This window comes from Homo sapiens, chromosome 2 (genome assembly GCF_000001405.40).
Source record: "Homo sapiens chromosome 2, GRCh38.p14 Primary Assembly".
NCBI classification, from domain to species: Eukaryota; Metazoa; Chordata; class Mammalia; order Primates; family Hominidae; genus Homo; species Homo sapiens.
Genome location: NC_000002.12, coordinates 51765361 through 51791295, shown reverse-complemented (window position 1 = coordinate 51791295; position 25935 = coordinate 51765361). Strand labels below are relative to the sequence as shown.

General features: G+C 37.6%; 1 long non-coding RNA gene and 1 pseudogene across 1 annotated transcript in view; one reads left to right on the top strand and one right to left on the bottom strand.

Moving 5' to 3' along the window:
- The window catches only part of NRXN1-DT (NRXN1 divergent transcript), a 1375317-nt gene that overhangs the window by 616622 nt on the left and 732760 nt on the right, over positions 1 to 25935 (bottom strand). The gene's annotated exons all lie outside the window — the stretch shown is intronic.
- CRYGGP (crystallin gamma G, pseudogene) lies at positions 15894 to 16038 on the top strand (annotated as a pseudogene).

Genomic DNA, 25935 nt, shown 5'->3' with positions numbered 1-25935 from the left:
ATATGGTGAAATCCCGTATCTACTAAAAATACAAAAATTAGCCAGGCATAGTGGTGGGCACCTGTAGTCCCAGCTACTAGGGAGTCTCAGGCTGAGGCAGGAGAATCAGTTGAACCCAAAGGCAGAGGTTGTAATGAGCCAAGATCGCACTACTGAACTCCAGCCTCGGCAACAGAGTGACAGACACTCCATCTCAAAAAAAAAAAAAAAGTGTACTGTTTAATTTTAAAAAATTTTGTGACTTGTCAGCATATTTTTGTTATTTCTAATTTATTATGTTTTTATCAAAGAATATACTCTATATGACTTTAATCTGCTTTAATTTTGAGTCTTGTTTAATGTCCTAGCATATGCTCTATCTAGGTAAATGTCCTATATATAGTGAAAATAAATGTGTATTCTGCTGTTGCTGGGTGATATGTTTTATAAATGTCATTTAGGTCACGTTGATTGAAAGTGGCATTCAAAGGTCATATATTTTATTGATTTTCTGACTTTTGTTCTATCAATTACTGAAAGAAGAGACAAATGTAATTATGAAGTAATATGAGATAAGATAAAACATTAGGCTACAAAGCCAAGTCATTATTAAATTTGGCGGGAGAACTTAGGCAACCATCTTTTCTGCGTAGTAGGACTTTCCATGTGCTACAGCTAACTTTAAACCTCGCTGATCACATAATTGTGCAGCTGTAAATGATAAGTATATATTTATATACACTACCTTTACTTCACACACTATACATATTATAATTATAATTCTAAATATACCTACTAGTAGTTTCAAATAAAATAAACAAATGAATAACTGGAATTTACACAGTGGCTGCTCTTGTGCACCTCTATATATTATTCTGATTCTATTTTTCGAAAATGCCAAACTTGGGGATTCTATGTATACATATTTAGAAGAAGGAAGTCAAAGAAAATGAAAATGAAGTCAAAGAACAAGAGTAAGAGAGAAAGTGGGAGGAAAGAGAGAGGGAGAGAGATGTAATCGATGTGTTCTACCACTTATTCAGAAATATCTTTTAACAGCCAAGTCTCTGGGGGCCCCAATCCTCTGGAAAGTGGTTTTCAACTTTGTTACCATTACATTACACATAACAGATGACACTTTTTGTGTCACAGGCTCCCGTCTGCAATGCTCAGAACACTGAATGCATCTCTATTGCTTTATTTACTCTCAATGAATCATTGGTGTTTCAGACCATTTTCTGCTGATGTAAAAAATACCACAGACTGAGTACTTTATTGACAACAGAAGTTTATTTGATTCATGGTTTTGGAAGCTAGAAAGTCTAAGAGTATGGTGCTAGCATCTGGCTAGGGTCACCTCATAGCATAAGGGAGAAGGCTGAAGGGGGCAGCAAGCATTCAAGACACAGAGAGGTTTTTGAGCTAAACTCATTCTTTTATCAGGAGCCCACTCCTGCAATAACTAACCTACTCTCACAATAATAGAATTACTTCATTAATGAGGGCAAAATCCTCCTGACGTAATCACCTCTTAAAGGCCTTACTTTCCAATTCTGTGACACTGGCAATTAAATTTCTACATGAGTTTTGGTTGTAAGCTGGTAGTTCTACAGTTCAGGGGTCTTGGGAGTAGACTTACTCCATTAGTAGCCACTCTTCATTAGGCATTGCCCTAGCAGGGACTCTGTATCAGCTCCAATCCCACATTTCTGCTTGGCAGTGTCCTAGTGGGTGCTCTCCTCAGTGGTTCTGCCTCTCTACAAAAAATTTCTGCCATGGCCCCCGGCTGCCCATGACATCCTGTGAGACGAGACCTGGGAGGAGTAATTGTTTCCCCTGTAGCTCTTGCATTCTTTGCGTCTGCAGAATTAGAGCTATGTGGACACTGCCAAGTTTTATCACTGTACCTTCTGGAGCAGTAGGTTGAGCGGCAGCACCTGGGCCCACTTAAGTCATGACTGGGGTGACCTGGGAGCACTGCACCAGAATTTGGGAAGCAGAGACCTGAGGTGGGTCTGAGCCCATGGGTGAACCCATGGAGGATGCCCTGGGCCCATCCCATAAAACCATTCAGCCCCACTAGAGCTCTGGGTCTATGATGGGAGGGGCAGCCTTGAAGATCTCTGGAAACTTTGGGGTCATTCTCGCATTGTCTTGATGATCCCTTCTATCTGTGCTAATCTCCTTAGCAAGTAGTCATTTGCCCAAGCCTTTAGCAATCTCTCCCAAGCATGCTTTTTTATTCTCTACATAATTAGGCTGTGAATTTTCTAATTCTTTTCTATTTTCCTTTTAATTTTAAATTCTAATTTGAGGTCGTCTTTTTGCTCTCATATCTCAGTGTATGTGGTTAAAAGTAATCATACAGCAGCCTGAATGCTTTGCTGCTTTGATATTTCTTTCAGTAGATATCCTAGCCCACTGTTCTTAAATTTCAGGTCTCATGAAGTCCTATGACATGGACATAATTCTGCCAACATTCTTGCCACTTTATAACAAGAATAGTCTATACTTCATTTCCAAATAGGACTTTTTTATTCTGCCTGAGACCTTAGCAGAATGACCTTTATTGTCCATATTCCTATTAATATTCTAATCACAATCATTTAAGTAATCTCTAAGAAAATTCAAACTTTAAGGGTATCCTTTTTTCCTGAACTCTCACCAGGAGTGCCCTTACTGCTACATTCATGGCAATCCAGGCTTTACTAGCTTACTCATCCAAATTCTTCTAGCCTCTACCTATTGTCCGGTTTCAAAGTTGCTTTCATATTATCAGATATTTGTTATAGCAACAATCTCACTTCTTAGTACCAATTTTCTGTCTTAGTCTGTTTTCTGCTGCTATAATGGAATACTACATCCTGTATAATTTATAAGCATTAGCAGTTTATTTGGTTCATGTTTCTGGAGGGTGGGAAGTCCAAGAGTATGGTGCGGCATCTGCCAGGGATATCTCCTGGCAGAAGGTAGAAGGCAGAAGGCAGAAGCGAACAGTGAAGACAGAAAAAGAAAATTGGACCAGAAACTCATCTTTTTATCAGGAGCGCACTCCCACAATAAAGAATCCACTCTCATGCTAATGGCATTAATCCATTCATGAGGGCAGAGCTCTAATGACCTCATCACCCTACAAAGCCCCACCTCCCAGTGCTATTTATTTGAAATTAAATTTTAGATGTGTTTCAGAGGAGGGGAGAAATCAAACCAGAAAAATTGGCAACAAAACTGATTTTGAAAATATTATAGGTATACATTAAATATATACAACTTAATTCATTAGTTATACCTCAATAAAAATGGGGAGAAATTTAAAAATGATAATTTCTTAGACTCTATACAATAAATATTTTTGCTTCATTGAGTGATATTATAAAATTTAGCATATTAATTTTTAGTCAATTGTATTTTTAAACACTTATTCTCCCAGAAGTGAAGAGTTTTTACCAGTATCATACCTCACTCTATGGAAGTCATGTTGGCTGGGAAGTTTTCTTTCTTTCTTTAATTCTTTATTTAATGAATTTTTAGAGATAATATTCAACTTTTAATATTTAATTGTTAGTACTGCATTGAACAACATGATGTAAATAATTAAGACCATAGTTTTTTGATTAGACAAATATGACTTTGAGCTCACTGTGCTAATACCAGCAGTAACAAGAATAGTAGCAGCCAGAGAACTATCATGATGTCAGTCTAACTGAGAAGTTACCAGTTGTGTGAATTGGGGCAATTTGCTGAAAATTTCTAAATCTCTTTTTCCCCATATTAAAAAAAAAAAAAAACAGTACCTTCTCCAATATAATTTTTCACAGGCTAAATATATAATCCATGTAAAATTTTGGTGCAGTTTCTGGAAAGTACTAAATGCCCTATACATGTTTGATGGCAGCCAAAGTAATGGAAATAGTAGCAGTCATAGAAGTTGTCACTGTAGTTTAAATTGTAGTCATACCAGTAGTAACAGTAATACATTTCTGCTATAACTCAGGTTGTGTCAAATCATCTTGTTTGAGAGTCAGTCAATTCCTTGGGATATAGTCCTGTGGGAGGAAATTTGTGAAAATGATCCCTGAGAACCTGAAATGTCTGCATTGGCTTTGTACTGATCTCTTTAAACCTGATATCCAATATTTTGTTTTCCATTACTTTTATTATTATTCTTATTTAGACATTATATACTTTGACCACAAAAGGCCAAGGGTGGCCAGGGTGAGGGAACAGAAGGAGGTTACAGGCTGACAGACTGTGAGATGTGGGCTGGCATGGGGTCACACACAAGCGTGTCCTTGCTCTACTCATGCCAGACTGCACAGTAGTACTGAAGGTTCACAAGGATATGTGTCCTAGATGCTCTTTGATGCTAGCAGAACAGATTGCCTATCAGAGGAAACCTTCATTCATTGGCTTTGCTTGAGTAAATCCAGAGAAAGGAGCATGGATGATAAAAGTACAGTCAGAATCCTAGAAAATTATAGCCCAGTAGTGATGCTAGGATATGGAGAATTTATGCCAAAGCTCATTGAAGTGGAAATTTCGACCAGGAAAACAAATGTTTGAGATTTTAAAAGTTATTCTGCAAATCTATGTATTTAGTCATTTATTTACCTACTTATTGATGAAATAACAACTCTACCTATAAAAATTCCCTAGGGCAATTATCTTTGTCTATCCAAGAAGTGAATTAACATACAAATTTTAAAGTTTTCTTTATATTTGCCATGTACCATAAACTCCTTGAACTTTCGTGTTCTGTTCCATAAAACAGATTGACAATAATTATTCAAAGGTCTATTTTTGGACTCAAATACATGGTATTTGCAAAAATACCTGACATTTAGCAGGCCTTCCATAAACCTAAGTACTTTTCTTTTTCTACGGTGACAGAGCCAAGAACCTTTTCACTGGTAAATTACAAGAAGCATTTACATAATTTTATCTTTAATTTAGTATTATCACTATATTTTTCATCCTTGGCCCTCTCTCATTAAGGCTGAAAATAGCCTTGCGTATAGTTTGTAACGATGGTATTACCAGTTCAACTCACCTTTGCACAATTAGTTCAAATGGTTAGACTCTAGTGTTAATAATTCCGAGGTATCAGGTTTAATTTCAGTAAAAATACTTGGATTAAAATAGAAAAGCAAACAAAATTCTGTTCTACTGCCGATACTACACATCTAACCATTTTAAACCAGCTTATTGTAATGTGTTATTTGTCAATAGAAGCTGCTCTGGCAATAACAAAAAAGAACCTGAGCAGTCCATTTTTGCTACAGGTAAAAGTAATCTCAAGTTAAGTGAATAACACTACTGTTAGGTGCTCAAGATGACATTTCACCTCCCAGTGTGGACAAACCCAAACAGGAATTTTGAGCTCTATTGGAATAAGAGCAATAGAGACAAACCAGTGAGTGTTAAAAGGTTTAATAAAGAAGCACTTCTTTAGTTCTATGTGGGTTCCTCTTGATAAGAAATCCCTGATTTGGGACTAGAAAGGGTTTAATGAATAATGATAAAAAGAATTTTAATTTAAATATTATGGAGGGATTTTCAAGAGATCTATGGATGAACTAGATTTAGTTTCCCTGGACCAGATACGTTCTATTCCTGAATTTAAAGAAAACTTTTGGATGAAAATGCTTAACATCAATAATCTTTGAGAACTGGGGAGAGGTTGCTACAATAGGTGCATAAGAAAATGCCATTCTGATTTTTTAAAATAAAATTTTAAAAAGCAAAAATTGTATTATTTAAGCTATAGTGTTGTATAATTAATGTCAATAAAAGCTGTATTACACTTTTAGAAAAAGTGTAACAACCATTTAAAGACGACAGGAATCCACTAGAGCAAGTGAAGCCAGACAAACTGTATTATATATAAAATAGTCAAAACAGAGAATGTTAGATAAGGTAAATGGATGCATAACTACTTTGCAAATGTATCCTAGAAACTGTTGACTAATGGGTCAGTATCTCCCAACTATATGTCATAGTTTTATGCTCTCAACTTCTTTTTACATTAGTAATATAAAGGAGACATAAAAGATCCCTCAAGTGTGAAAGTGAAATTAAACTATAGTGGACAGATCATTAATACTTAAGGCAGAATAATGCAAACAATTCAAAAATATACAACAATGGGCCAACTGTTATTTTAAATAAATGAACCACTAATACTACATAGTTTTCCAAAACAAACTACATCTCAAGACAGGGGAGGTAGGATGTGAATCGATTATCTAGAAAGAGATGTACTGTGTGAGGTGTCTGAAAGGACAACAGAATAAAGAAATACAATCTTGGGGTATATAATTAAGGAAGAAGAGTACATAGAACACAGGAATTTATTATAAGGTGAAATATGATGAGAAACAAGAAGTTCTCTAGCTTTGTGGGAAAGTCAGACATAATTTGAAATATTGAATGGGTGACCTTTGGCAAATTTACTTAACCTTTATAAACCTGATTTCTCATTTTTGAGTTGTGGAAAATAATATTAATTTCCTCATGGAGTGTTGCAGGTTAAATAAGGACATGCATACAAAGTTTACAGCACACTGATTGTCATTTGTTAAGAAATCACTAAATTATTATTGCTATTTTAGCTAAAAGTGTAGTTTTAATCCTACTCATGTGTTGGGTCATTTCTTTGCTTTTCACTTGCCAGTGAGAATTCAGATATCTTAAATATTTTCTTGGGTAAGTGGAGAACAATGCTTCTGTCTTATCACCTACATTAGGTTTCATTTTATTGATAGTAATATTTCTCAGTCTCCTTCCATAAGGTTGGTCACAATCAAGTTTAAGCCCTCCTTAGACTCGTGCTGAGCTAGAAAAAATACTTCCTAGCTAATATCTTTGCTTCCAGGATTGCTTTATCTCTATTTATTCAGAAATCCCTGCCATATTCATTTGTCCAAAAACCATTTCTAAAATATCACTGCTATGTTCCAAAACATACAATGACATTATCTCACCCTCAGGAAAACATCCAACTTTCTAGATGTTATTTTGACACTTTCCTTCATGGTCTTCTTCGTATTATCACAGCAGCCTTTGCTGTTTCCCTTCTATTTCAGGACTCTCCATTTTATCTCATTGCCCCTGTATTTCCTTTGCTCCAAGTGAGCACCTTTTTCTTCTGAAATTCCCTTTATATTTGCTGAGCCATTTCTACCAGTTTAAATTTCCTACTCTTGAATCTTTTATTATTATGTAAGCTTGCGTGGAAACCACTGTCCCATCAACTGCATTTAATTATGCAACTCTTGTTTATGTCAAGTTATTATTAAGTGTTATTTTGGAGGTTTACTTGCCACACATATAATTGTTTCCCTACCTAAATATTAGGACACATATATGCAATTTTTTTCTCATATCCCCTGTATACAGGAACATATGATATAAAAATTCGCAAAGCAGGTGCAAGATAAGAAAGTTGATATTAAATAAATTAACAAAGCTGCTAATCAATCAGTTCCCTCAACATTGCATCTGTTCTATGTCTCAGAGTCATGTACATTTACAAGGATATAAAATACTGATGGCTTATTAAGTAGACTCTAGATATCTAAATCAAACAATTTATAGAGGAAGATTTTTCCTTTATTCACAAAGATTTCTCATTTGAATGACATGCTAGTAATGTTTTACTTACATGTATACTCCATGTACAGATTGTTTCTCTATTCCCTGCCTCTGCTGACTTCACTACAGATGTTTGCGGTTAGAACAAAGGCCCAGGTTTCCCCGTGATTGCTTCATCATTAATTAATATACCATGGAGCAGAGTCACAGCTAGCAATTGCCAGAATTTCCCATTCCAGTATGCAAACCTTTGTAAAGCTTGTTCTAAAAAATGAAGAAAAAAGTATCCACTAGACTTTTCTATATTCTTCCCTGAGGCTTACATTGAACAATGAACTCAATACAGCACTGTACATCATACCCCTGAGCTGCTAGAAGAATTCAAACTTCGCTAAGCACAAGAGCCAAGGGAGCTCTTAGCATGCTTCTAAGTCCAGAGCTTAACATTCGGGATGAGACTACTGTCACAGGTTCCTTTGGAGTGTGATTTTTCTTGATTCTGTTCCATTTGGATGTGTGAAAGTATAAGGGAGGCTGGAGCAGCTGGAGAGGGAGGGAGAGCATGTCTAGAGTGATGACACATTTAAAAATATCATTCTGAGGAGCCCTGAGCTCTCTAGCTATGCATTCTAAATATAGTAATGCCAACAGGAGAGAAGTGCGCCAGTTGGGCTCTCAGAAAGCTGCTCCAGTACCACCAGGTAAAGATGACTCACCCAGGGCGAGTCAGACTATGATGTGCCATTTCAGCATTTTCTTACCAAAGCCTTCTCAGTCAGACCCTTCTCAAAAAGCCACACTCTCCGTGGAGGATTGAAGAGTAATAATGCATAACACTGAATCCCTAACATTAGATCATTGTTAATCTCCTCAAAAAAACATATTTCTCTATGGAACAAACCTGCACGTTCTGCACATGTATCTCTTTTTTTTCTTAGAAAAAATAAAAAACACACACACACATTTCTGTTACAAAAAGGCTTTTTAGCTAATAACACGTATTGGCAAAGGAAAAAATTTAAAAAAAACCAAAAAGGTAGTGGACATTTATTAATCCTGCACATAAATTGGTTTGAATGTTTGGTCATTTTTTTTCCCTGATTTGGTTAATTTTAATTTTTTTTTTTTTTGGTAAGGGAAACTAAAACTAGTGCTGCATTAAACGTATGCCTCTAACATACCAAACAATAAATTGAACAGGTTTATAAAAAGGAAAAGCCCTTATTTATTATACAATTCCTGGTTTCTTTTCCTCTTTAGAGTGCACACATATAAATACACAATTTAAACACACAATTCTCCAAAACCTCATTAAAATCAAACCTATTTGAGCTTATTGTTAGAGTCTGAAGTTATCTTTTATAGTTCTTGCCCACTCCATATTTATTGTGTTGAGATTTATTGCATTTTAATGGCTACATGTACATAAGTTGCTTCTCAACTAGGACTATTTAAAGACCTCCAGTGATGAGCTAACTATAACAAACTTGCCATCTGTATCTCTTAGGAAGCAAGAGTTTTAAATTTAGCCAACTATTGCCATTCTATTTTTCAGTCCAATCTCTTCTGTACATTCCTTCTACCAATCCTAATTCTGGAGGTACGGAGGGTGGGTAGACTAGGATGACTTGTTAGCAGGAGTAAGAAACAGAAGAAATCTCTTAACTATAACTTCATCTAGTGTTGGTGATTTCGGATTCTTATTCCAGCTCCTGCTTTCTGCTTCCTCACTCCCCTTCAGGATAACATATTGAGGTGCTACCAACACCTGGTGAAGCCAGAGGGAAAGAAGCACTGAAGGGAGAGTAATTTCTCTGGGAATCAGAGTAGAAGATGCCTGATTTCATTAATATCCTGCAGGCTGATTCATTCAGTGGTTTCTAACGCCTAAATTAGTCGCTAAGCATGCAAGGTAGGCAGCTAGGCCTTCTATTTTTTTTAGAACCCATATTTGGTTTTTCCTTTGAGTCTCAAGCTTCTCGCCTTATCTTGATGAAGTGAGGAGGAGACAGCCTCCTCTTTCCAGTTTTTTACCAATGCTTTTGAAATTTTTATTTTTCCTTTTGTTTCTTTTCTTACCCATTTTTTCCACTTTGCCTACTTTCATTCTTTGATTTCCCAAAAAATATTTATAAAGGAAAAATGAGATAATAAAACAATGCAAATCATTTTTCTCCCTTGCTTTTGGGCAAAATTCATCTTTAAAAATTTGGTGCTATTGATGTTAGCAACAAAATCCAACTATAGAGCACTATCAGTTTTTATTAATTTTCTCTACAGCTCCATATATCCAGAGACACTTAAAATGATTTAACAATAACAAATGGGTAATAAACTTCAGTAAATTTTAGGATTTCTCATCTATCATCAGTTAAACTGAACAATTTCCCCATAAATGTCAATTGACTACAATGAAGACTTTTAATTTATTTTAGAAATACATGCCATGCTATATTTTTCCAAAATCGTCATACTTTACAAATCCCAGACTCAAAACAGTATCCAAATGCCAGAAAGCCTTCTCTATTCCAAATGAGAATCTATTAATTAAAACTGGGAAAATGAAGAGTCTGTTATAAGAAAGCCATAAGTTAAATCAGTACTTAAAACTATGCCATGCCCAGGATGACTAGTGGAAAAATACCAAAATGCGTGTGTTTAAAAATTAACCATGAAGGCAAATTGAGCCATGCCTATTACCCAAATATGAACTGAAAATAAAGAAAAAACAAATATGAACAGATTGTGACCCTTTGTTTTCATTTAAATACATTTTGAAGTCAGAGACACTGAATTCTGGCATAGAAAAATTTTGACATTGTCAGATACACAAATTCAAAAATCCAATTACTTTCAATGGTAGTGAGAGGTGACAGCATGCTGGCAGCCCTCACAGCCCTCACAGCCCTCACTCGCTCTCGGTGCCTTCTCTGCCTGGGCTCCCACTTTGGTGGCACTTGAGGAGCCCTTCAGCCCACCGCTGCACTGTGGGAGCCCCTTTCTGGGCTGGCCAAGGCAGGAGCCGGCTCCCTCAGCTTGCAGGGAGGTGTGGAGGGAGAGGCGTGAGCGGGAACCGGGGGCTGCCTGCAGCGCTTGCAGGCCAGCTGGAGTTCCGGATGGGCGTGGGCTTGGTGGGCCCTGCACTCCGAGCGGCCAGCCGGCCCTTCCGCCCCAGGCAATGAGAGGCTTAGCACCCGGGCCAGCCCAGCACTGCCAGCCCACCGGCACTGCACTCGATTTCTTGCCGGGCCTTAGCTGCCTCCCCATGGGGCAGCGCTCGGGACCTGCAGCCCGCCATGGGCTCCTGTGCTGCCCGAGCCTTCCCGAAGAGCGCCGCCCCCAGCTCCACGGCGCCCAGTCCCATCGACCACCGAAGGGCTGAGGAGTGCGGGCACAGGGCACGGGACTGGCAGGCAGCTCCACCTGCAGCCCCGGTGCAGGATCCACTGGGTGAAGCCAGCTGGGCTCCTGAGTCTGGTGGGTATGTGGAGAACCTTTGTGTCTAGCTCGGGGATTGTAAATACACCAACCAGCACTCTGTATCTAGCTCAAGGTTTGTAAATAAATACACCAATCAGCACCCTGTGTCTAGCTCAGGGTTTGTGAATGCATCAATCGACTCTCTGTATCTAGCTACTCTGGTGGGGACTTGGAGAACCTTTGTGTCCACACTGTGTATCTAGCTAATCTAGTGGGGAGGTGAAGAACCTTTGTGTCTAGCTCAGGGATTGTAAACACACCAATCAGCGCCCTGTCAAAACAGACCACTGGGCTGCACCAATCAGCGCCCTGTCAAAACAGACCACTCGGCTCCACCAATCAGCAGGATGTGGGTGGGGCCAGATAAGAAAATAAACACAGGCTGCCTGAGCCAGCAGTGGCAACCCTCTGGGGTCCCCTTCCACACTGTGGAAGCTTTGTTCTCTCGATCTTTGCAATACATCTTGCTACTGCTTACTCTTTCGGTCCACACTGCCTTTATGAGCTGTAACACTCACCGCAAAGGTCTGCAGCTTCACTCCTGAAGCCAGCGAGACCACGAACCCACCGGGAGGAACGAACAACTCCAGACACGCTGCCTTAAGAGCTGTAACACTCACCGTGAAGGTCCGCAGTTTCACTCCTGAGCCAGCGAGACCACAAACCCACCAGAAGGAAGAAACTCCGAACACATCCAAACATCATAAGGAGCAAACTCCAGACGAGCAACCGTAAGAGCTGTAACACTCACCGCGGCTTCATTCTTGAAGTCAGTGAGACCAAGAACCCACCAATTCCGGACACAATAGGTAAGATACCCTTTCACACACCTGGGATCTAAATTTCCAAACATTTTGTTTCTTTTCTCTATCTTTATGTTTAATTAAAGAATAAAATATAGAAGCTGCCTTGGGGACAGATTTGAACTGATGACAAGCAGTTTGATAGGAAGTGACTTCAGCCCACAATGGCACAAGCTTGTAGTCTCAGGTACTAAGGAGGCTGAGGTGAGAGGATCATTTCAGCCCAGGAGTTTGAGACAAGCCTGGGCAACATAGTGAGATCCTACCTTCAAAACAAAGAAACAAAAAAAATCGTGACTTCAGGTCACTATTCAGGAGGGAAGGGACAGTGAAAGAAAGGGGAATGTCTGAGACTGAACACGATTTGCACTCTGAAGCCCCAGCATAGTCTTAATTCTGTGTCCAAGGGAACCTCAGACTTGGCCTGCCTCAGCCTCATTTTGAGTCCAACTGCATTTTGAATCCAACTGCAGGAACCTTTATACACTCCAAGGCCTCATCTCTTCCCAGTTTCTACCGTTTGCCTTACCTCTGATTCCTAGAACAATTACTCACTCTGGAGACAGAAATAAAAATATACTAATAAGGAAATTTCTATTCCATTAATTTTAATCAATTCTAAAGTTTGGGCAATTGGTCAAGTTTCATTTTGGTTTCTTGCTTTTGATCTCGGCAATGCAAAATTGCATTAAAAAAGAATAATCTTTAGAACTCATTAATATTTGTTACCATTAAATAAGCAGATATCTTTACTCACATGACTCTTACTGCTAAGGAACCAGGTGTAAAATTGGGGTCATAAAAAAGTGAAAAATATCTCCTTTTATACATATTCTGGGAGTTTGTTTCTTTGGACACTCATCTATTTAGGATTAATCAGTTTTTAAAAATCACTTTCAAAAGGTATCCCTGGAAATGTAAATTATGAATTCCACTGTGCTTTAAACTTCTTGGAGTAATATTAAAAATAATTTTAAAAATCTTTTCACGTTCACTAAGTAGTAGGCTAGTCTAGCAAAAAAAGAATTGATCTTAGAATCAGGAGACCAATCTCCTTTGTTGCTGTGACCCTTACACAGATTTATGACCTTGAACAAAACATTTAATTTTCCTTTTAGTGAGTCCTCGCTTGTAAGGTAATACTGAGGTTTTTTTTTTTTTTTTTGAAATTGATTTCTTAATAATAGGCAGTGATTGAATTTTTAATAAATGCTCTTTTACCTTGGTTTTCTCCATCTTCCCCTACTAAGAAAGATTTTGAGCTTTACGAGAAAAAGTAGAAGTTACATATCCTTTAGGTTAGAGTAGAGGCTACAGTTCCCTTTAGGAAGAAACACTGTCAGTTTTATTTGTCACTATGTTCCCAGGACCTAGAATGTAGTAGGCCACAACAAATATGCATTGAATGAATGAATTAATATGCTCTTGGACGTACATTTTTCTTTAAAATTTATCACCTCCAAGAGGCCCCTTCGATGTTATCACCAGAAAGGAAACGTCTTCAGCTTTTTATTTGTGGAATAAAAAGCAAAACTAAGGTATAAAATAGTACTCATTTTGTCTCACAGCTTGTAGCATATAAATCACAGATATACTACCAATGCAAAGTACTTCACTGATATTATAAGAACATTGTAAATGCTTAATTTATCTTAAGTTTGCCTATACCTGAAATTGTGAATGAATACAGGTTAAAAAGATGCCACAAAATTTAATTATTACTATACATTAGATATCAGGAATTTTTCATAAAATGTCTGTTTTTGTCATAACAAAATGAGTTTTCTGTGAATCACTATTTTGTAAAATATTTAAATATATAATATTTAAAGTGAAAAAATCATCTTATGTATTTACTTATTTCTTTTTGCTTTCTTTCCTAAGCTACTGCTTAAGAGTATACTGTGCAGAGCCAGACTAGGTTCAAAGTCATAATTCAAATTCCTACTCTGAAACTTGGTCTCATTAATTAGCTCTCTCATCTTTAAAATGAAGATAATAGCAATGTAAGTGGGTTGTTGATAGGATGAAAGGAATTATTACATGAAAATCATTTGGAATGAAGCATGTCACAAAACTGATATCCAATACATGTTAATCATTATGATTTTCAGCATGGCTTTTTTTTTTAAATAAAAAACATCATTAATTTTTCAAAAAGGAAATAAATTTCTCTTTGAAAATTTGTAGTCCACACAATGGATGTCTTCAACACATGGTTTCTTTCCAATTCCACCACATTCCTCAGATATTCCAGGCTTCCTGCCTTCCCCACCAGCAGACAGATTAGGTATGTCAGAAAAGAAACCCGATCAAGCCAATTTCTTCCAGATGATGGGCCAGGGGCACAGGCCTAGATGCTCACAAGTGAGTTGAAGGAGGATTGGGTGATATACTGCAAACCCTCAGTGTACAATTTTGTAGCTACCAGGTCATTTTCTTACTATTAAATGCTTCAGAGTTCTTACATGTGTAAACCAAAAATAAAATTCTAAGGCCCCCCAACTATCTGAATAGACTTTCTCCTCAGCCAGAACTCTTTTAAAATTTAACCTGAAGGACTGCTTCAGGCTATGATAGGAAGACATTACCATCAACACAGACTTTAAGTCTGATAGGAAACATTTTATATACTATTCTCTCTGAAACCTGCTACCTGGAGGCTTCACCTGTGTAATAAAACTTTGGTCTCCATAACCTCTTATAGCAACCCAGACATTGCTTATTATTGATCCCAGGACTTTAGACAAACTCAACCTATTGTCAACTAGAAAATGTTTACATTTACCTATAGCCTGTACAGTAACCCCCCTACTACCCGCCTCACCGGCTTAGAATTGTCTCTCCTTTCTGGACCAAATCAATGTATTTCTTAAATATATTTAAACGTATTTGACTGAAGTCTCATGCCTCCCTAAACTGTGTAAAACCAAGCTGCACCCCAACCATTTTGGGCACATGTTCCCAGGACCTCCTGAGGTCTGTGTCATGGGCCACAGTCAATCATATTTGGCTCAGAATAAATCTCTTCAAATATTCTACAGAGTCTGACTCCTTCTTGTAAACATCTGGACCATCTCATTTCTTTTTCATATTCAGAAACTTACAGATACTAACCAAACACACAGAATAGACTTGACTGATTACAGTCGCAGTAGTGCCTGACATTTGATTTTTGACATTAATCTGTCTCTCTCTCTTTCTCTCTCTCCCTCTCTCTCTCTCTCTCTCTCACACACACACACACACACACACACACACAAATTATTAGTACCACTTCACTCCTCCCAGAAACAGAAAATAATAATATAGCTCTGTCTTTTCAGGGTCAAATTGGATGAATAAAATTGAGAAAATATGGATTGCTTAGGAAGCCTTAGCTCCTTTATGGGGCAAATCTGTCAAGGGAATCCTGTAACCCACTGATCACCACAAATGTCAGCAGCCCAGATTTGCAAATTCCGCCTCATAAATCTTCAAGACTATTTGCTGATCTCAATGAGAATAAATTGGGCAATGATAATATCATGAATTTCTATGATAGAATAATAAGTGACCATGAACAATATGACTTTTAAGTGATCACTACTAGGGTCTATTTGCATTTTCACTAGCTTCTTCTTGCTACTTGTTTTTGCTTTTACTTGAAAAATACCCTAGGATGATTTGAACACTTAAAGATTCAAATTGATACTTTTAGTTGCCCTTTTAATGAATTTTTATTTATCTAGAGGAGTGCAGCTAGAATCTAATAAAAAATCTGAAAATGACTACTGTTGAAATCGATCATTTATAAATAAGGACAAATATAAAACCACAATTGCATCTGTATTAAAATGGCCATACCATTTTATATTCACACCAGCAATGTATGAGAATTTCAACTGTTTCATATCCAAACCTGTTTTTCTGCATTCTAATTAGTATCATTTTAGCATTCTCATATTGACCCGTTCACCCATTTGCTCATTTATTTGTTTACTTGAGAAATATCTTACTTTGATAGTTAGGAAGTTTATGTTAAAACCTCAAGTTGAGGTGGACAGTGGCTACTGGATGCTCTATGAGCAGCCCAACTACTCGGGCCTCCAGTACTTCCTGTGCTGCGGTGACTACGCCAACCACCGACAGTGGATGGGCCTCAGCGACTCAGTCCACTCCTGCCACCTCATCCCCCACACTGTAAGATACACTTTACTAGCAGTCACTTAAACCTCAAAAATAATTGCTTCCTCTCAGTTCCATGAAAGCTGAATAGGAACAGCTCCAGTCTACAGCTCCCAGCATGAGCGACGCAGAAGACAGGCGATTTCTGCATTTTCAATTGAGGTACCGGGTTCATCTCACTGGGACTTGTTGGACAGTGGGTGCAGCCCACAGAGTGTGAGCCGAAGCAGTGTGGGGCATCGCCTGATCTGGGAAGTGCAAGGGGTCGGGGAATTCCCTTTCCTAGCCAAGGGAAGCCGTGACAGATGGTACCTGGAAAATCAGGATACTCCCGCCCTAATACTGCGTTTTTCCAACGGTCTTAGCAAATGGCACACCAGGAGATTATATCCTGCACATGGCTTGGTGGGTCACATGCCCACAGAGCCTTGCTCACTGCTAGTGCAGCAGTCCGAGATCGAACTGCGAGGCGGCAGCGAGGCTGGGGAAGGGACGTCTGCCATTGCTGAGGCTTGACTAGGTAAAGAAAACAGCCAGAAAGCTAGAACTAGGTGGAGCCCACCACAGCTCAACGAGGCCTGCCTGCTTCTGTAGACTCCACTTCTGGGGGCAGGGCATAGCTGAACAAAAGGCAGCAGAAACTTCTGCAGACTTAAACGCCCCTGTCTGACAGCTTTCAAGAGAGTAGTGGTTCTCCCAGTATGGAGTTTGAGATCTAAGAATTGACAGACTGCCTCATCAAGTGGGTCCCTGACCCCTGAGTAGGCTAACTGGGAGAAACCTCCCAGTAGGGGCAGACTGACACCTCATACAGCCAGGTACCCCTCTGAGACAAAGCTTCCAGAGGAAGGATCAGGCAGCAACATTTGCTGTTCTGCAATATTTGCTGTTCTGCAGCCTCCACTGGTGATACCCAGGCAAACAGGGTCTGGAGTGGACCTCCAGCAAACTCCAAAAGATCTGCAGCTGAGGGTCCTGACTAATAGAAGGAAAACTAACAAATAGAAAGGAATAGCATCAATATCAACAAAAAGGACATCCAAACCAAAACCCCATTTGTAGGTCACCATCATCAAAGACCAAAGGTAAATAAAACCACACAGATGGGGAGAAACCAGAGCAGAAGACCTGAAAATTCTAAAAATCAGAGCACCTCTTCTCCTCCAAAGGATCGCAGCTCTTCGCCAGCAACGGAACAAAGCTGGATGGAGAATGACTTTGACGAGCTGAGAGAAGAAGGCTTCAGAAGATCGGTAACAACAAACTTCTCTGAGCTAAATGAAGATGTTCGAACCCAACACAAAGAAGCTAAAAACCTTGAAAAAAGATTAGATGAATGGCTAACTAGAATAAACAGCACAGAGAAGACCTTAAATAACATGATGGAGCTGAAAACCATGTCACGAGAACTACGTGACGCAGGCACAAGCTTCAGTAGCCAATTCGATCAAGTGGAAGAAAGGGTATCAGTGATTGAAGATCAAGTGAATGAAACGAAGCGAGAAGAAAAGTTTAGAGAAAAAAGAGTAAAAAGATATGAACAAAGCCTCTGAGAAATACGGGACTATATGAAAAGACCAAATCCCGTTTAATTGGTGTACCAGAAAGTGACGGGGAGAATGGAACCAAGTTGGAAAAATGTTCTTCAGGATATCATCCAGGAGAACATCCCCAACCTAGCAAGGCAGACCAACATTCAAATTCAGGAAATACAGAGAACACCACAAAGATACTCCTTGAGAAGAGCAACTCTAAGACACATAATTTTCAGATTCACCAAGGTTGAAATGAAGGAAAAAATGTTAAGGGCAGCCAGAGAGAAAAGTCAGGTTAACCACAAAGGGAAGCCCGTCAGACTAACAGCATATCTGTCAGCAGAAACTCTAAAAGCCAGAAGAGAGTGGGGGCCAATATTCAACATTCTTAAAGAAAAGAATTTTCAGCCCAGAATTTCATATCCAGCCAAACTAAGCTTCATAAGTGAAGGAGAAATAAAATACTTTACAGACAAGCAAATGCTGAGAGATTTTGTCACCACCAGGCCTACCTTTCGAGAGCTCCTGAAGGAAGCACTAAACATGGAAAGGAACAACCGGTATCAGCCACTGCAAAAACATGCCAAATTGTAAAGACCATCGATGCTAGGAAGAAACTGCATCAACTAACGAGCAAAATAACCAGCTAACATCATAATGACAGGATCAAATTCACACATAACAATATTAACCTTAAATGTAAATGGGCTAAATGTTCCAACTAAAAGACACAGACTGGCAAATTGGATAAAGAGTCAAGACCCATCAGTGTGCTGTATTCAGGAGACCCATCTCACATGCAGAGACAAACATTGACTCAAAATAAAGGGATGGAGGAAGATCAAACAACAAATGGAAAACAAAAAAGGCAGGGGTTGCAATCCTGGTCTCTGATAAAACAGACTTTAAACCAACAAAGGTCAAAAGACACAAGGCCACTACATCATGGTAAAGGGATCAATTCAACAAGAAGAGCTAACTATCCTAAATATATATGCACACAATAAAGGAGCACCCAGATTCATAAAACAAGTCTTTAGAGACCTACAAAGAGACTTAGACTCTCACACAATAATAATGGGAAACTTTAACACCCCACTGTCAACATTAGACAGAGCAATGAGACAGGAAGTTAACAAGGATACCCAGGAATTGAACTCAGCTCTGCACCAAGTGGACCTAAGAGACATCTACGGAACTCTCCACCCCAAATCAACAGAATATACATTCTTCTCAGCACCACATCACACTTATTCCAAAATTGACCACATAGTTGGAAGTAAAGCACTCCTCAGCAAATGTAAAATAACAGAAATCATAACAAACTGTCTCTCAGACCACAGTGCAATCAAACTAGAACTAAGTTTTAAGAAACTCACTCAAAACCACTCAACTACCTGGAAACTGAACAACCTGCTCCTGAATGACTACTGGGTATATAATGAAATGAAGGCAGAAATGAAGATGTTCTTTGAAACCAATGAGAACAAAGACACAACATACCAGAATCTCTGGGACACACTTAAAGCAGTGTGTAGAGGGAAAATTATAGCACTAAATGCCCACAAGAGAAAGCAGGAAAGATCTAAAATTGACACCCTACCATCACAATTAAAAGAACTAGAAAAGCAAGAGCAAACACATTCAAAAGCTAGCAGAAGGCAAGAAATAAGTAAGATCAGAGAAGAACTGAAGGAAATAGAAACACAAAAAACCCTTCAAAAAATCAATGAATCCAGGAGCTGGTTTTTTGAAAAGATCAACAAAATTGATAGACCACTAGCAAGACTAATAAAGAAGAAAAGAGAGAAGAATCAAATAGACACAATAAAAAATGATAAAGGGGATATCACCACCGATCCCACAGAAATACAAACTACCATCAGATAATACTATAAACACCTCTACGCAAATAAACTAGAAAATCTAGAAGAAATGGATAAATTCCTGGACACATACATCCTCCCAAGACTAAACCAGGAAGAAGTTGAATCCCTGAATAGACCAATAACAGGCTCTGAAATTTAGGCAATAATTAATAGCCCACCAACCAAAAAGAGTTCAGGACCAGATGGATTCACAGCCGAATTCTACCAGAGGTACAAGGAGGAGGTGGTACCATTCCTTGTGAAACTTTTACAATCAACAGAAAAAGAGGGAATCCTCCCTAACTCATTTTATGAGGCCAGCATCATCCTGATACCAAAGCCTGGCAGAGACACAACAAAAAAGAGAGAATTTTAGACCAATATCCCTGATGAACATCGATGCAAAAATCCTCAATAAAATACTGGCAAACCAAATCCCAGCAGCACAACATAAAGCTTATCCACCATGATCAAGTGGGCTTCATCCCTGGGATGCAAGGCTGGTTCAACCCATGCAAATCAATAAACTTAATCCAGCATATAAACAGAACCAAAGACAACAACCACATGGTTATCTCAATAGGTGTAGAAAAGGCCTGCAACAAAATTCAACAGCCCTTCATGCTAAAAACTTTCAACAAACTAGGTATTGATGGGACGTATCTCAAAATAATAAGAGCTATTTATGACAAACCCACAGCCTATACCATGCTTAATGGGCAAAAACTGGAAGCATTCCCTTTGAAAACTGGCACAAGACAGGGATTCCCTCTCTCACCACTCCTATTCAACATAGTGTTGGAAATTCTGGCCAGGGCAATCAGGCAGGAGAAAGAAATAAAGGGTATTCAATTAGGAAAAGAGGAAGTCAAATTGTCCCTGTTTGCAGGTGACATGATTATATATTTAGAAAACCCCATTGTCTCAGCCCAAAATCTCCTTAAGCTGATAAGCAACTTCAGCAAATTCTCAGGATACAAAATCAATGTGCAAAAATTACAAGCATTCCTATACACCAATAACAGACAAACAGAGAGCCAAATCATGAGTGAACTCCCATTCACAATTGCTTCAAAGAGAATAAAATACCTAGGAATCCAACTTACAAGGGATGTGAAGGACCTCTTCAAGGAGAACAGCAAACCACTGCTCAAGGAAATAAAAGAGGACACAAACAACTGGAAGAACATTCCATGCTAATGGGTAGGAAGAATCAATATCATAAAAATGGCCATACTGCCCAAGGTAATTTATAGATTCAATGCCATCCCCATCAAGCTACCAATGACTTTCTTCACAGAATTGGAAAAAACTACTTTAAAGTTCATATGGAACCAAAAATGAGCCCACAATGCCTAGATAATCCTAAGCCGAAAGAACAAAGCTGGAGGCATCATGCTACCTGACTTCAAACTATACTGCAAGGCTACAGTAACCAAAAAAGCATGGTACTGGTACCAAAACAGAGATATAGACCAATGGAACAGAACAGAGCCCTCAGAAATAATACCACACATCTACAACCATCTGATCTTCAAAAAATCAGAAAGAAAGAAAGAAACAAACAAGAAATGGGGAAAGGATTCCCTATTTAATAAATGGTGCTGGGAGAACTGGCTAGCCAGATGTAGACAGCTGAAACTGGATCCCTTCCTTACACCTTATACTAACATTAATTCAAGACGGATTAAAGACTTACATGTTAGACCTAAAACCATAAAAACCCTAGAAGAATACCTAGGCAATGCCATTCAGGACATAGGCATGGGCAAGGACTTCATGACTAAAACATCAAAAACAATGGCAACAAAAGCCAAAATTGACAAATGGGATCTAATTAAACTAAAGAGCTTCTGCACAGCAAAAGAAACTACCATCAGAGTGAACAGGCAACCTAAAAAATGGGAGAAAATTTTTGCGATCTACCCATCTGACAAAGGGCTAATATTCAGAATCTACAAGAAACTGAAACAAAATTTACAAGAAAAAATCAAACAACTCCATCTAAAAGTGGGTGAAGGATATGAACAGACACTTCTCAAAAGAAGACGTTTATGCAGCCAGACACATGAAAAAATGCTCATGATCACTGGCCATCAGAGAAATGCAAATCAAAACCACAATGAGATACCATCTCACACCAGTTAGAATGGTAATCATTAAAAAGTCAGGAAACAACAGGTGCTGGAGAGGGTGTGGAGAAATAGGAACACTTTTACACTGTTGGTGGGACTGTAAACTAGTTCAACCATTGTGGAAGACAGTGTGGCGATCCCTCAAGGATCTAGAACTAGAATTACCATTTGACCCAGCGATCCCACTACTGGGTATATACCCAAAGGATTATAAATCATGCTGCTATAAAGACACATGCACACGTATGTTTACTGCGGCACTATTCTCAATAGCAAAGATTTGGAACCAACCCAAATGTCCATCAATGATAGACTGGATTAAGAAAATGTGGCACATATACACCACGGAATACTATACAGCCATAAAAAAGGATGAGTTCATGTCCTTTGTAGCGACATGGATGAAGCTGGGAACCATCATTCTGAGAAAACTATCGCAAGGACAGAAAACCAAACACCGCATGTTCTCACTCATAGGTGGAAATTGAACAATGAGAACACTTGGACACAGGGCAGGGAACATCACAGACTGGTGCCTGTGGTGGGGTGTGGGGAGTTGGGAGGGATAGCATTAGGAGAAATACCTAATGTAAATAACGAGTTAATGGGTGCAACACACCAACATGACACATGTATACATATGTAACAAACTGCCTGTTGTGCACATGTACCCTAGAACTTAAAGTATAATAATGAAAAAAAAATAAAGTGAAAAAAAACCTCAAGTTGATAGTCTTAGTTAACCTTTTTATTATGCATGTTTATCTAGAGGATTTTTAGATGGAAGTAAGTCAAAGTCAGAAAATTTTACTGAACTAAATAATTTATAAATAAGGACAAGGTTAAAAACCATGATATTGTACAAATACTAGGAATGTCAAATAATTTTAAATACAAAATTTTACAAAATTCACAAAATAAAATTATTGCTTATAAATATATTTAAGTAGAATATTACAGCTTGCATTCCTTTAGACCTGCATTGATATCGTTCAGAAAACATTAATGTCAAATATTATCTTGTTTATAAAGTTACTATAGACTTTTACTTCTGTCACGCTTCTCTCTTCATTATAAAGCTGTATGTATCATGGTACATATATAATGATTTGCACTTGATTCTGTGAAAACTATTTGAAATATGAGTTACCTAAAATATAAATTCTTACTGCTGTAGCTGTAAGGTTCCCTCAAACCTCAAGTTGAAATTTGATTTCCAGTGTTGCAGTTGGGGCCTCATAGGAGTTGTTTAGGTCGTGGGAATGGATCCCTTATGGGTAGATTAATGCGCTCCCTGGAATGGGTATGAGTCAGTTCTTGCTCTGTTAGTTCCCATTAGAGCTGGTTGTTAAAAACAGGCTGGAACCTTTACTCTAACTTTTGTTTCCTCTCTTGCCATGTAATCTGTGCACACACATGCTCCTTTTTGCCTTCTGCCATGAGTGGAAGTAGCCTGTGTCACTCAGCACAAGCAGATATCAGTGCCATGCTTTTTTGTACAGCCAGTAGAAATATGAGCCAAATAAACCTCTCTTCTTTATAAATTACGCAGCCTCAAGTATTATTCCTTTATAGCAACACAAACAAAGAAAGATGCCTACCATATAATCTCAGCAAACACTATAATAAAAAGATTACTTATGCTATAAGGAAATAATGTGTTTACCTCAATTACAAATAATAAAAATTTTACTCAAGTAATAAACTTAAATGAATATAATGTTAAAGTAAGAAAACCAGAAATTTTGACAGTTCAGAAACCTAACACTTTCCCACATTTCCAAATTGATGCATTACTATGTTAAAATTATTTTGTTTTATGACATGATTGATTTTATGACTTGTGCAAAATTGAATGTGACTGAGGTTAAAAGTAAGCCAGAAGTAAAGAACAATAAAGGCTGGCTTAATTATTATCATGCAAAATTAAATAGTTCATACAGAAGTTAAAAAAATGAGAACTGAGGTATAACAAATGAGCATAAGACAAACAAGAAGAGATGTAAGTACACAATGCTGACCTTCAGATCAAGAAAATTTGAGGAGTTTTAGCTCTAGAGGTTTCAATTCAGAGAGCTTAATGCCATCTGTTCTGGGATGTTTAAACATTCAAGCTACTGGAAGCAAGGGAACGTACACCTGAATTCCCTTTGAAAAATACGCTTTACAATTTAGGCTTTATATGTTTCTCAATAAAGCACAGTGAAAGAAAAAAATGTCTACATTCAAAATGCCTATTTCATTTTTAGAAAATGTGTCTAAAACTAGATCAGTCTTGTTAACTGATTTATGAATACATAATTAATGTGCAACAAATTGCATGCATTTCAAGTGTACAATTTACAAGTTTTAAAATATATAAATATATATGAAACAATTACACAATAAAGATAAGGAAAAAGATTCCTCTTGCCTATTCTTTTTATTTAAAAAAATTCACCAATAAAAAATTCTATATATTTTTGGTAGACAACATGTTTTGATAAATGTATATACTGTAGAATGGCTTATGAAATCAAGCTAATTAACATATACAGTACCTCCTATACTTATGATTTTTTTGTGGTGAGAACACTTAAAATATACTCTCTTAGAAAGTTTTAGATTGACAATATATTGTTTTTAATAATCATCTCCATGATGTACAAAAGACCTCATGAATCTATTCCTTCTGTTGAACTGAAGTTTTGTATCCTTTGACCAACATCTCCCCAGTTCTTTCATTCCCCAGCCTCTAGTAACCATTTGTCTACTCTGCTTCTACAAGTTTGACTGTTTTAGATCCTCTGTATAAGTTAGATTTTACAGTATTTCTCTTTCTGTGTCTTATTTTACTTAGCATAATTTCCTCTATATTTGTCTATGTTGTTGTAAATGACATGGACAAATATAAAAAGCTTTTTAAAAGCAGAATAGTATTGTGTGTGTGTGGGTGTGTGTGTATGTGTGTGTACTTCATACCTCATCCATTGATAGACACAGAGTGATTTCATGTCTTGGCTATTGTGAATAATGCTGCAATGAACATGGGAGTACAGATATCTTGTTGACATACTGAGTTCATATCTTTCGATATAACCAGCAGTGGTGAATTGCCGGATGATATTAATTTTTTGAGAAATCTTCATAATATTTTCTATAATGGCTTTACTGACTTACTTTCCCACTAACAGTATACAAGGGCTCCACATCCATGCCAGTGTTTATTTTTAAAATCTTTTTGATAGTAGCCATTCTAACAGCTGTGCGGTGACATTTCACTATTGTTTCAACTTGCATTTCCCTGATGATTAGTGATGATGAATATTTTTCTCATATACCTGTCAATCATTTCCATGTAGTCTTTTGAAAAATATTTATTTCCTTTGCCCATTTAAAAAGTTGGTTATGTGTTTTCTTACTGTTGAGTTGTTTGGATTTTTTATATATTTTTGATATTTTCTTCTTGCCTCTTTTTAATCTCTCTTTCTCACTTTTTCCTACACTCGCTTTCATCTCCAGAAAACCACTGACCAACTTTCTGGCAATACAGATTAGTTTGAGGTTACTAGAATATTACATAATGAAATCACACAGTATGTTGTCTTTTTTGTCTGGATTACTTCACTCAACATAACTCTTTTCAGGTTCATCCATGTTGTAGTTTGTATCAATATTTTATTCTTTTTTAAGTTTGTGCTGGGTAGCTTTTGATTTCATGAATGTACCACAGTTTCAATTGTTAATAAACATTTGAGTTGTCTTCAAGACAATTATGAATAAACCTTATGATTTACATATTCCATACTAAATAATTATTTCAGAGAAATGAAATTATGATTACAGTAATATGTTTGTAATAAGTATTTGGTATGGTGTATGTGAATCATATGGCAGGTGTAGGGTTAACTTTTTAAGAAACTGTCAAACTGTTTCCCAAATTTGTTGTTCCTTTTTACATACCTGGCAGCAATGTTTGAGTTTCCGTCATTCCACACCCTTGTCAACCATTGGTATAGTCAGCCTCTTTAATTTTAGCCATTTTAATAGATGTGTAGTCGTTATAATGGTATCTCATTGTGGTTGTCATTTGCCTTGTTCTAATAACTAATGTGTACTTATGTCTTTTCACGTGCTTCTTTGCCATCAAATAAGTACACCTACTCTGGTAATGTGGCTGTTCAAGTTTTTTGCCCTTGTCCTTTAATTGGGTTGTTAGCTTACTATCAATGAATTTTAAGAGTTCCAGACATATTCTAATTATTATTCCTTCACCAGATATATATAGTAGAAATAGTTTTTGTTGCTCTGTGGCTGGCCTTTTATTCTCCTAACTTTAAGGATGAAATTGAAGATAAATTTATCCATTTGTTCTAATATGAATCACACTTATATA